Source organism: Homo sapiens, chromosome 4 (genome assembly GCF_000001405.40).
Source record: "Homo sapiens chromosome 4, GRCh38.p14 Primary Assembly".
Lineage (NCBI taxonomy): Eukaryota > Metazoa > Chordata > Mammalia > Primates > Hominidae > Homo > Homo sapiens.
Window position 1 is genome coordinate 150230319 of NC_000004.12, and position 12788 is coordinate 150243106.

Consider the following 12788-nt stretch of genomic DNA (forward strand, 5'->3'; position numbering starts at 1 on the left):
GTAGATATCTTATTTACTTCAATTTGAGAGAGATTCTTGGGGTACTGGTGAGGGGATTATCTTACAGATATCACTAAATTAGCAACACAAACACAGCCCCCAGGGAGAGGCGAATATATAGACTCTTCTAACTTTGGGTAAAATGAGGAGCAGGAAGGAGAATTGAAGTGATAGATTCATTTAGCTTTAAAATAAAAAACCTATTTAATGACAGTAGCAACTGTTGTCTTTGCTTCACACGGAGGGAAATAAATTGATGTGCTTGCTTATACATGTTCACAAAAGTGTATCTAACCCTGCTTTTTAGTGTGATTGAGGATATGCTTGGTGCAGATGATCCAAAAGCTTCAAAATATGTGAATCAATGGAGAGGGTTTGCCAAGTCTTTTGTCTTTGCAACCATGAGGGGCTGGCTGTACAGCTGCTTCCCAAGGGAGGAAACGGGGCTCTGTCTGCTGCTCTGTAACTTAGACAGATGGGCTTGGAGACAGATAGGAGACCCTGTTCTTGACTTCCCAGCTGTGGTTTACTGGGGTCTAAGAAACACCATTCTTCAGATTTTGAAGCGTTTGTTGAGTCCTGAGCCAGTCAAAGACTTCCTAGCCCTGTTCATTAAAAGAAGCATAGATTCTCCTCCTTGCACAAACCCTGGTGTGATTCTTAACCCCCAAATCAGTGTGGTGCTACTGCATGCTCTTATCTTTTTAAGGAATTAAATATTTTCAGCTTACAGCTATAATTTTTATTTTGAAGAATTCCAACTTGGCATTTACTGAATTCTTCCCCTTTGGAAGGTGATAATGTGTGTATAAGAAAGATGGGCTTGGATGTCAGAAACCTAGTTTACATTCAACCTCCAGTGACTGTTTCCAAGGATAAAGTGTTCAAACATTACACAAGTACCTTACACAGCTACTAACAAACAGTGACTAGATTCCTAGTAAATGTTGGTTTCTTTCTTTCCCATACTTCTGTTTAGCAAATTTGCACTGTCACTCGCTAAGATTTATTGAGTGACTGCTTGGACAAGCACAGTGCATTCAGTGCTCAAGAAACACAACCTACCATGTGCAGGAGCTTGAAACAGATTTTTCTCCACATGTTATTTATTCATTTGTTATAATTTCTATTTCCAGCTATTGTCCAAAAGGGTGAGGTGGCTCTTAGCTTCATGCATCCATGTGTAAAAATACATGTACACATGTTGAGAGGTCTTAATGTCTCATTTAAAACACAGCAATCATTGTTCATGATTCATGGGTTGACGTATTAAGAATAATTCGTTAATTCTGTAAGTAAACATTTTGCTACAGTGCTGATCCCAACTGTGTTACTCACCAGGATTGATAATCAGGTGGTGTTTTCAGAGGAGAGTGATTAGAGCTAAAATGAGAATAGTGGTCCCCGTGGTTCTGTATGTTTTCAGATTTCTGAAATACAAGATGTTAAAGAACATCCATCTGGTGAATGATTTCATATCCAGTCATAGAGGAAGAAAGTTCTTTTTTTCATAAATTTCAGCATGAAATTCAAATTCATGTTAGTAACAGTTTAAAAACTAAAAATGCTTAATGCCAGAAGTTAGATTTCATAAGCATGCCAAGTTTTCTTATATGCCTAGTCTTTATTTGTGAGTGTATACCGAAATCAAAAAGTGGCTCTGGCTGAATTACAAAGCACAGAGCTGTGTGCTGAAGCTTTCATAGCATCACAACCTCTTAAGGTGTTAGAAATAATGACAAGCGAGAAGACAGTATGCTTAATACACCACAGAAGCACCATGGAGCCTTTTGGGGGATGTTTAGGAGTCTGTATCTTTTTGGTAATGTCAATAATATGTTCACACTGACCCTGTCCCTACAGGGACAATTAGGTCAGGTTTAGTTGTCTTTGTGCCAAGAGCAATGCTTTCTTTGGCATCAGATCCACAGGCTGTGTTTGTTTTGCTGTCCTCCAGGCCTTCGAGAGCAGAGGGTTCTGTGATTTCTGATCTCCTCTCTATACCGTTCATTTGACAGGAACACCTGATTGAGAATGAAGTGTCAATACTGCGCCGAGTGAAACATCCCAATATCATTATGCTGGTCGAGGAGATGGAAACAGCAACTGAGCTCTTTCTGGTGATGGAATTGGTCAAAGTAAGAGGATAGAGAGATTTTCTTGGTGCCTAGTCCCACAATTTACAACATCCTTGAAGGACCTAATCAGAAAAGTGTATTGCTACCTCATAACTTTCATTATTTATAATCGCCGATTTTAGTGGCACTTGTGTCATTCTCTGCTTTATGCCAATGAGCCATCTTTCTTACCTTCATAGGATTGCACTGTTGATGCTTTGATATGTTCTTTTATGTATCGTTTAGGGTGGAGATCTCTTTGATGCAATTACTTCGTCGACCAAGTACACTGAGAGAGATGGCAGTGCCATGGTGTACAACTTAGCCAATGCCCTCAGGTATCTCCATGGCCTCAGCATCGTGCACAGAGACATCAAACCAGAGAATCTCTTGGTATGTCATCCCTGCTTTTTCTGTTCCAATGAATGCCTCTCTTCCTTTAAAAGGAGCACATGCAAATAATGGCATTTTATAGTCTATACCAATCCTACATTATGAGACTTTAAATTTAGAAAATTAGCAAGACTTATGTCAATGACCATCAAATACTAATGGAGTTCTTGAATTTTTCTGCATTTGTTATTTACCACTCTGCTATATTTCTCACTCTGCTATAAAGAACTACCTGAGACTGGGTAATTTATGAAGAAAAGAGGTTTGATTGACTCACAGTTCCACAGGCTTAACAGGAAGGCCTCAGGAGACTTACAATCATGGCGGAAGGCGAAGGGGAAGCAAGCACCTTCTTCACATGGTGGCAGGAGAGAAAGAGAGCGAGGAGGGAAGTGCCACACATTTTTAAACCATCGTATGTTATGAGAACTCACTACCACAGGAACAGCATGGGGGAAATCTGCTTCCATAATCAAGTCACCTCCCATAAGGTGCCTCCCCCAACATTGGGAATTACAGTTCAACATGAGATTTGGGTGGGGACACAGAGCCAAAGCATGTCACCAGATACAAGAAAATACATTTTCATTTATATTTTAATTGATGGTACTGACTTAAAGGTGAGCAGGAAAATTATTTTATAGGGCAGAAAATTGTGAAGAATAAATTTGAGACAGAATTAGAGGCTCATAGGAGACAGGAGTAGAATGTGGGGGTTCATTTATTTGCAGGGAATAATTTTGGAAATAGTCTAGTCCATTCATCTCAGCTTTACTAAAGGCATGGAAACAGAGACCAAGAGATGCCATTTTTTTTTCTTAGAAGTCTCTTTTATCCTATTATTCTACAGAATAAAAAGTCTTATTCCACTATGGTACCCAGAGTTCTTCATAGTCTGATCTCAATTTGTCTTTTCAGCTTCCTGTCCTGTTAATAACTCTTATCCATCCAACCCAACATGGTCTAAGCTTCAAGCCATATTGAACTCACCTTCATGGTGACTCTTGATAACTAGACACAGCTTGCTAATTGGGAACCAATCCTCGTGACCACGTTATAGAAGAATTTTAGAGAAACTGGTTGGGGGATTTGACATTTACACTCCTCCCAGCCCCCCACAAACACACATGACATAGTTGGCTTCTTTATTTCCACCTTTCAGGGCTCTCATCCTCATTCCTGCTTGGGAGGCAAGCTTATCTGAGTCTTCTACATCATGTTAATCCAAACACAGATTCCTCCATCCTCAGTTTTTAGTTAAGACTTGACTTACCAGCAGCCTTACACCTCCATTGCTTCTGTCCATACTGGTCTTCATTTGCAGCGTCCTCTCTTCCAGCATTGTGGTAAACCATTCATCTTGTAATACATTGAGCAAAAGTTAAGTCTTCTTTAACATCACTCTAGACTTTCTAGACAAAGTTCAGTCACAGCCACCTCGGGTTTCTGCTGCACTTGCTACGGTGTTGTGATCTTTATCATACACTTGTCTGCCTCTTTGGGATTGTAAGTACCATGGAGGCAAGGTTTGTGTCTAATTATCTTTATATCTCCAATGGTTTGGATGGTGACACGTAAACACATAACGGACAGCAGAGTATTGCTCACTGACCACTGACACTCACTCAGCTAGCAGCTGGTGCTAGAGCATGAGCCTCTACAGCCTGCTGTGAGCACCACACAAATAACTGTTGAAAGGAATATGCATTGATGCACAGCATCTGAAGCCATCCTGGGGACTTTTTATTTTTTGGCTAATCTAATCCAGAGTACCCGTCTTTTCTTTTTGGTAATATCATTTGATGATTTCTGAGTATCCATTTAAAAGTATTTGAAATTTTATCTCACTGTCTTCTGCCTTGAGGGAATTATATTTCATTTCTATATGTTCTTATTAGGAAAAGAAATATCCCTGCTCTGTGTTAAAAAAAAAAAAAAAGGGGGATTGTGGACGTGGTTTTATGAACTCTAACAAGGAATGGAGACAGAGTTGTAAACCGAGCCTCAGGAGGAAAGTTAGGATATGGCGTTCTCTCCTCAAAACAGGCTTCTCGCCCATTGGGACCTTGCAGCATGCCAGGCTCCTCCACCGTCGAACTGAGTTTGGCCCGGGCTTCGCAAACAAAGGCACAGGGCTTTCTCCAGGTGTGACCAGACACAAACACTGGGGCATTCATAAGGATACCCCCTTGACTGCTTCCTGCTCTCCACAACCTGCCTTGCCCCACTGGCTCTAGTTACTGCATTCTCTGAAAATATGGGAGCCACAGGTTCCCAAGGAACCCCTGCAGCCAGTCTGTCCAACAGCCCTGATTTAAGGCCCAGCAAAGAAGGTGACTGAGGTGCTTGTGAGCTTCCCTATAAACCAGGGAGTCCATTTCCCAGCTCACAGATCTCACTCTCACCTCCTGTTTCTTCTCTTTTCCACTCAGAGTTTCTTAATGTATGTAAAGAATCTGACACCGCCTCCTTTTTTCTTGTCACACATCAAGGGTGGATAATGTTTTTCACTTCTTCAGGAGAATTGGCTAAAATTTAAAAAATTTAAGAGTAAGTAATGTAATGGGGATTGATGTCTCCAACATCATGAGTCTCAGAATGCAATCAGGAAATCAGAGTCACACTCCTCATTGAGTCTCACCTGTCCTAGATGAGCGTCCACCCCTTCCCAAACCTACGGGAGCCCCCTTGTGTTAGCCCAGAAAGGGAGGAGAAGGAAGAAGAGGATAAAACTGACCTCTGGAAGAGGCGAATATGTGATGTAGAAAGGCTCTTCCGAGCCTTCAGAAATAACCATAGCCTCATATATCTCAGTAAAATGTGTTTGCGATTGAAAACCTAACTAGATCACTTGGCAGTTTCTAGATTTAGTCAGCAGGTTGGTATTGGCCTGGGAGGAGAGGGTGCCATTGAGATACTAAAAGTAAATACCCAGAGTGACTGTCGGCCTCTTCTTGCTCTGAGAACTAATTCAGTTTTTAAACACCAGAGCATTCAGACATCTGATTTGCATCCCGCTCTCCGGTAAGCAGCATCATAATTTAAAACCCTGCCAGTGGAGATGTATGGGTAGCTGTGTCAGGGAGCACAGGGGTGGCCGTTAATGCTGTGAGTTACAGCCTGGTGGTACCGTGTCAGAGTTAAGTATGAGAGACCAGTGATAAATTCAGGTTGTCCAGGAGTTCTGGGGATAGGAGAGAGAAGAGAAGAGGGTTGGTTTCTCATATTTGAAGTCCTTCTAAATCATTAAGTTGACATTTTATTTAGAGAACACACAGTGTTCATTTTGTATGTGGGATCTGCATTCCTCGCATTTTTTATTTTTGCATTCTGAGAGCAACTTTTGACAGAAGCATCTCACAGCTTGTGGTGGGGCGTTTGAACACTGCAGGGCTAGAGTTCTCACAGTTGTGATTGTTTAAATTCACTCAAAATCTGTAAGTAAGTGCAGGCTGTAGTCAGGGTTCTGGCAGGCCTTTCCAGTTATTTTTCAGGTACAGAATCTTGCAGAATGGTGCTGTGGAATGAATAATGATCCTGGCTGGAGCCCCTGCCTGGCCATATGACTAGTAACCTGAGTGCTGTGCGCCTCAGTCTCCTCGTTTGTAAAATGGAGGTAACAGTTCTCTTCCTAGTTGCCCAGTGGGGTGGCTCTAGAAGTCCAGTGAGATAATCTTCGAAAGAATTTTGAAATCTCCAAAGTCCTTGAGAATGTCAGTTTCTGGGGAGACCTGAACTCTGCCAGAAAGCCTTTGGAGTCCCTGTTCATCTAGTCACCTCTTTATTAAAGGCAACTGTTTTTAAAGCAATGATGTGTGTGTCTCTGTATCTATCTAGAGAGAGATATATGTATAATTTCTTCCTGCTTTGAAGACAGTCTCTCACTAAGATTTGAAATGTATTCATATTAGACATGTTTGCTTCTGTGTCCAGCATTGGGGAGAGATGAATCAGATAAAATATGACTTCAGGCTTGTCTACCCCTAATGACACTTCCTTTGTGATGTTTAGCCAAGGAATATCACTTGCACAGACATAATTCAGCAGTTACAGACTGTTCAGTCCCTTTCTATATATGCTCCTGCATCTGACTCTGAATTCTTTATAGAGGATGTGAAAAACAGGACTTCAGGGACTTCTGAGTATCTGACAGCAACCTCTGAATACCCCTAGGCATCACTAAATGGAGTCTTTAAAATAAATACTATTTTTCAAAAATTGTACCTAATGAGTATATTTTTAAGTTGTAAAAACAAAATAACAGTGACATTAATAAAACTTTTTTTTTTAACTCTCATGATGCAGACAGTTAGGAATTTGTGCTTATAACATTCTTATCACTGTAATTACTTAGGAAATTTCTTTCCAAAGTCTGGGTTTTGGTAAAAGCATTATAAATTCTAACTATAATTATATCAGATTGTTCTTGTTAATGTTTACATTAAACATAATGGGTGGAAAGTTTTCCTAAGACTGTGACGTGACTAAGAATCTGGAATCCGTTACTTTAGGCTGAATCATTCATATCTTTGAAAATGTTTCTGCTGACTTGTGGGCTGACTCAGAGTTGTAAATATCTATGAGGGACTCAAAATCCTCATCATTACTCCTGTGGAACTTTAAAGTCATAAAGATATGTGTTAGAGATGTGTATTCAGTATATAAGACTGGAAAACGTTATTCAGATACTAAAGGTGAAACATATTCTTATTAAATGGATAAGGACATCACAGGTAAGGGAGGTATTTCAGTGCCGTCCTCTTTAAAATGCCTGTAAAACTTGGGGAATTACTGGCCTGGGAGAGCCCTGCGGTTCTCCATTCTTTTTTACTGATGACTATTTAAATCACTCCCCCTCATTAAGTAGCAGACTAATGGATGATGTTGCTAACATGCTTATCTTGAAAAAACATCATTTTCTAAATTTTTCTCCTTCTACAGTTAATAGTGGTTGCGATAAATATCTGGTTCAGCAAAATATGAGACAAAGCAAACTATGCTTAAAATAGAAAAATAGAAACAGGCATTACAATGAGTATAGACTAGGTCTCTGCAGCAGTTTATTCTCTGAAATTCCATGTTTTCAAAATGGACATCCAAGAGACAAATAGACTATACACTCAGGTTCAGGACTGCATGGTGAAACTTGAATTATGCTGTCATACGCACTTGTTTGCTTCCAAAACTATTCACTTAGAACCTAACTTTCTAAAGTTATATTTATCCCGTAGTTTTGCTTATATATGAAATTATTATGAAACCAACACATGTTCATTGTAAACATTTTAGAAACCACTGAGAACTATAAAGAAAATTAAATTAATCCTTCATGCTACCACTTAGAGATAAACTTGTTAACATTTTTGAGTATTTTATATGTAATTTTGCATTTTTTAACTCTGCATAATAGTGACTATTTCCCATATGATTAATATATTTGAAAAATGCTTATTAGAAAGTATGTAATATTTTATTATGGTAATGTATCATAGTCATTGCCCTATTACCCATTTATGTTGCCCTTAGTTTTTAAAAGTCATAGATAAATTCTGAGATTAGCGTCCTTATATATAACGTTTGGGTCCATCTCTATTCCCCTAGAGTAGGTTTTGAGAAGTAGACTTATTGGGTCAAAGGTTATAATTGATATAAAGAAATTTGCTATATATTGCTGAATGCTTTCTAGAAAGGTTCTTTAAGCATAAATAGTCACGTCTCCACCAGCATTTTTAAACCTTTTCCAATGTGATAATTATCTAATCAGCCAGTCCTTCCAGGAAATGGAAGGAACATTTTTTATTTTTTTACTTTTTATTTTTTCTCATCTGATTACCCACAAGGAAGGAGCATTTATTGAGCCCTGTTCTGAGCTTTGTCTCATTTCACCTTCACACCAACTTCACAAGGGAGGTACTGGCATTATCTCACTTCATAGATGAAGAAATGTGCTCAGAGAGGTTATGTGACTTCAGAGGTCACACAACCAGATGTGTGGACTTGTTATGGAAGTTCAGGCTGCCTGATCCCAAAGGTCATTTTCTTTCTAAACTTCCAAGGTTTTCCCCTATATCATATTTGTATTTCATCATTGACTGTCTAGACAACAAGGACCCCATTGCTGCCCCCAATTTTATTTTCTGAACTAAACATGCTAGTGCCGTGGAGATCACCAAGTGCTTTGGTGGACACTTAATACACCATTTCTTGGGCTCTCAAGTACATCACACATAGTAAATGCTAAATAAAGGTCAGTTTCTACCTCCAGGATTAGAGGCCTCTCTCACGCCTATCAGGTACACAGCCGCCTACACTCTAACTACTGTGTAAGCAAGCACGTGTGTTCATCGTACTCCTAGGGAAGGAACTTTCTGCAAAAGTGGAAAATATTTTTTCCAAATTTCACACAATTGTGCAAAATCTCTGAAGAGAAAAAAATTAGCACTTTAAAGCAACAAAGATGAATCATGGTGTTAGAATCACAAGGAGGTGTCGGGCACGGTAGCTCATGCCTGTATTCCCAGCACTTTGGGAGGCTGAGGTGGGCAGATCTCACGATCCCAGGAGTTCAAGACCAGCTTGGGCAGTATAAGGAGACCCCGTCTCTACAAAAAATAAAGAAATTAGCCTAGTGTGGTGGCATGTACCTGTAGTTCCAGCTACTTGTTGGGGGTTCCGTGGGGGAAGGATTACTTCAGCCCAGAGGTTGAGGCTGCAGTGAGCTGTGGTCACACCACCGCACTCCAGCCTGGGCAACAAAGCGAGACCGTGTCTTCAAAAAAAAAAATCACAAGGAGAGATTTCATTCGAGTTTAATAGTAAATGTATTTGTGTCCTTTCTGCCTAATTCCAAGAGCCCTCTCACAATTGTTGAGGAAAAAAAAATCTTCTGATTGTTGGCTGATTTCTGTTTCAGGTGTGTGAATATCCTGATGGAACCAAGTCTTTGAAACTGGGAGACTTTGGGCTTGCGACTGTGGTAGAAGGCCCTTTATACACAGTCTGTGGCACACCCACTTATGTGGCTCCAGAAATCATTGCTGAAACTGGGTAAGACTTCTGGTGGCCCTGGTTAGTACTTTAACTTTGATGAGAAAGGTCTGTTTTGTTGCTATTGCTGCTTGTGTATACAGTTGGTAAGAAAGGTCTGTTTTGTTGCTATTGCTGCTTGTGTATACAGTTGGTAAGAAAGGTCTGTTTTGTTGCTATTGCTGCTTGTGTATACAGTGCCTCCTGTGAAGGTGGAGAATGGAAAGAAGTGAGAGTCTGTTGCCTGCACCATGATTTTGACCTCAGGAAGCAGATTTTATGCTTACCTGGCCAGAGCCCTGGCCTGGACTTGTGTTCTAAGGCCACTCTTGAGAGTATGGCAGTAGTCACCAAGACTGTGGTTAGGTTGGCAGAAACAGATGCCTTTTTCTAAAGTGTGATTCATTCATCTCTATGTGAAATGAAATGAATAATTTAACACTAAAATAATCCTTTTCCTAACAAATAAAGGCAATACTCCAGTACCATGGAAGGGTCTTGGGAGCCATCAGTTCTCTCCCCCTCACCCACTTTGTTTTCCTAGCTATGGCCTGAAGGTGGACATTTGGGCAGCTGGTGTGATCACATACATACTTCTCTGTGGATTCCCACCATTCCGAAGGTAGGCGGCCTTTTGGGCGACGTATTTGAATTGCAAATGTTCTCCCTTGGGTCCAGAAGCAGGTACTTTGCTCCTGGAAGTCGGGACTGTTTGGTCATTAAAAATGCCAGTTAAAAATTACATAAAACGGGGGGAGGGGGGAGGGATAGCATTGGAAGATATACCTAATGCTAGATGACGAGTTAGTGGGTGCAGCGCACCAGCATGGCACATGTATACATATGTAACTAACCTGCACAATGTGCACATGTACCCTAAAACTTAAAATATAATAAAAAAAAAAAAAGAAAAAGAAAAAAAAAAATCAGAAAAAAAAAATTACATAAAACACCTTTCGCTTTTTAATTTACAGCCTATTAATGTATATTCTCATTAGCATACTTTGGGTGTGAGGTGAAGGCCTTTGCTTTGTGTTTGGTTGGTCCTCTGAGTTTCCAGTGTTCATTCTTTCATAAAAATAAACCCATAATACAGTGTCTACCATGTCCAATTTCTCCATCTTTTCAAATGACAGCAAGATTTAAAGAGCCTTGTGAAGCAGTCCGAATCCTTCCAGGTATGTCATCTTCCATTTCTTCATAGTGGTCTCTCTCACTCAATTAGGCAGCAGTTTTTATATCCTCTTTCCAAGCATTCAAGTTTGTTCTCATAGAAACAGGATCTCTTTCTTCTTAAAATTCATTTTATTGGTTCATGTGACATTTAATTAAGAATAGAATTACAAACACTTGTGGTATAAATAGGCCTGGGAATACACAGACTGAGTGAGTCTTGGTAACCATTTGCTTCACATGGTGGGAGCAGAGATGGCCACTGACAATGGTCAGAGTATTTGAGCAGGGCACGGGAGCACACTCATTGGCCTGGCAATCTTTGTGCAGGGAATGAGTGAGGGGCTTCAGCCACAGCTCTTTTGATGAGTTTCATCTCCCCCTCTGGAGCAAATGAATTACTCTGAAGCAGAAGTTCATCTAACCATGCATGTTCTGTTTTCTTCTGAGTTTTCTTGACCTCTTTTCACTTTAATCTCTTCCCTTTGTTCATTTTGTAACTGTCTAATGAGTAGCTACTGTGTGCCAGGCATGATTTTAAGTGCTAGGAATAAAGTGGTGAACAAAACCTGAGGTTGTGGTTTCCCTTAGTTTATTTGACTAGCCATAACAAAATATCATATACAGTGTGGCTTATAAACACCAGAAAATTCATCCTTCCAGTTCTGGAGGTTGAGAATTCCAAGATCAAGGTACTGCAGATTTGGTGACTGTTGAGGGCTCACTTCTTGGTTCATAGACAGCCATCTCCTCACTCTAACCACATACAGTGGAAAGGGCAAGGGAATCTCTGGGGTCTTTTGTAAGGGCCCTAATCTTATTCATGAGAGCTCCACCCTTAACAATAGCATGGCTGCCCAAAGGTCCCATCTCCTACTACCATCACATTGGGCATTAGGTTGCAGCATGTGAATTTTGGGGAGACATGAACATTTAGCCTATGGCATGGTGTTTATAGTGTTGTACTGGGTCACTATGTGAAAAATGGTTTTATCTTCTTTTCCATCCAACATTTTATTGTGAAAACTTTCAAACATACAGAAAAGTTGAAAGGATTATCTTTTTAAAATTCTCGGTTTTCCCATTGCGTTGAACAATTTTCTAATTGGCATTGCAGTAAACATAAGACTGACAGATGTTAGTCTCTACTTTTGAAAGCCTTATGCTATAGATAAAGACACACCTCACAAGACTATTGATCAAAGAGAATAAGCAGAGCATGAGGGAGTGCTTAGTTCAGGGCTGGAAATCACAAGGATGTAGCATTCATGAAAGATGTAGCATTTGAGTGAGACCTTTGTGGTATTAGTGGAGTTTTTGTAGGTGGAAAGATATTTCCATCTGGCCGTCAACATCGTGGTCTTCCACCAAAGTCATTAACTAGGTGGGTTACACAGACTGTAGAATTACTGTACATTTCAGTTAGCTTTTGCTGAGTAACACACTACCCCTGAAGTTAGGAGTGTGAAACAATTGCATGGATCAGTTGAGTGAATCTTCTGAGCTGGCTGGCTCAGCAGGGGCTTGATGGTCTAGGATGACCCCACTTGCACACCTGGTAGGTGGCTCAGTGTCCACTGGGACAAGAGAGATGACTTGGCCCTGTGCTTTCATCATGCAGGGGCTGTCCTGGGCTTCCATGAGAGTGGATGCAAGATTCCCCAAAGCAGCCAGAGACAGGGCAAGTTCTGCTCCCCGAGCACTTCCTCAGCCTCTGCTCACCTCACACTTGATGTGCCGTTAAGCAAATCAAGTCAAACAGCTAACCCAAGAGTAAATGTGGGAGAAAATGAGCTAAGTATATAGTGGGAAGGGAATAATTTGTGGCCATTTTTAAAGTCACACCGGGCCTTGGCTGGTCTCAGTGATGTCATGTTTTGGGAGAAGGGGTCAAGTGGAGAAGGGGAATGCATCTTGATGACAGGTGATCCTGGGCCAGTTACAGTGGAGTTCCCTTCCCTGGCTAACCCAAGCTGGGATCAGCTGGGAAAGGGTCTTGGGTGATGAGTTTGAGCGGACTGTGTGCTCACAACTCCCTCTAGTGTTTGCAGTTGCTGGTGCAGCCTGAGAGTTTTTTCT

General features: G+C 40.6%; 1 protein-coding gene across 11 annotated transcripts in view; it reads left to right on the forward strand.

The window, feature by feature from the left end:
• Positions 1-12788, forward strand: part of DCLK2 (doublecortin like kinase 2) — a 178994-nt gene that overhangs the window by 151874 nt on the left and 14332 nt on the right. For 7 of the 11 annotated variants that reach the window (XR_007096380.1, NR_036614.2, XM_017007832.3 and 4 more), the window contains 4 exons: positions 2019-2138; positions 2364-2510; positions 9424-9557; positions 10081-10158. Coding sequence is in view for 9 of the 11 variants with exons in the window: in XM_017007832.3 (XP_016863321.1) it covers positions 2019-2138; positions 2364-2510; positions 9424-9557; positions 10081-10158 (479 nt within the window). In the remaining 2 variants the exon portion in view is untranslated. The other 4 variants (XM_017007833.3, XM_024453913.2, XM_024453914.2 and 1 more) reach the window with 3 other exon arrangements.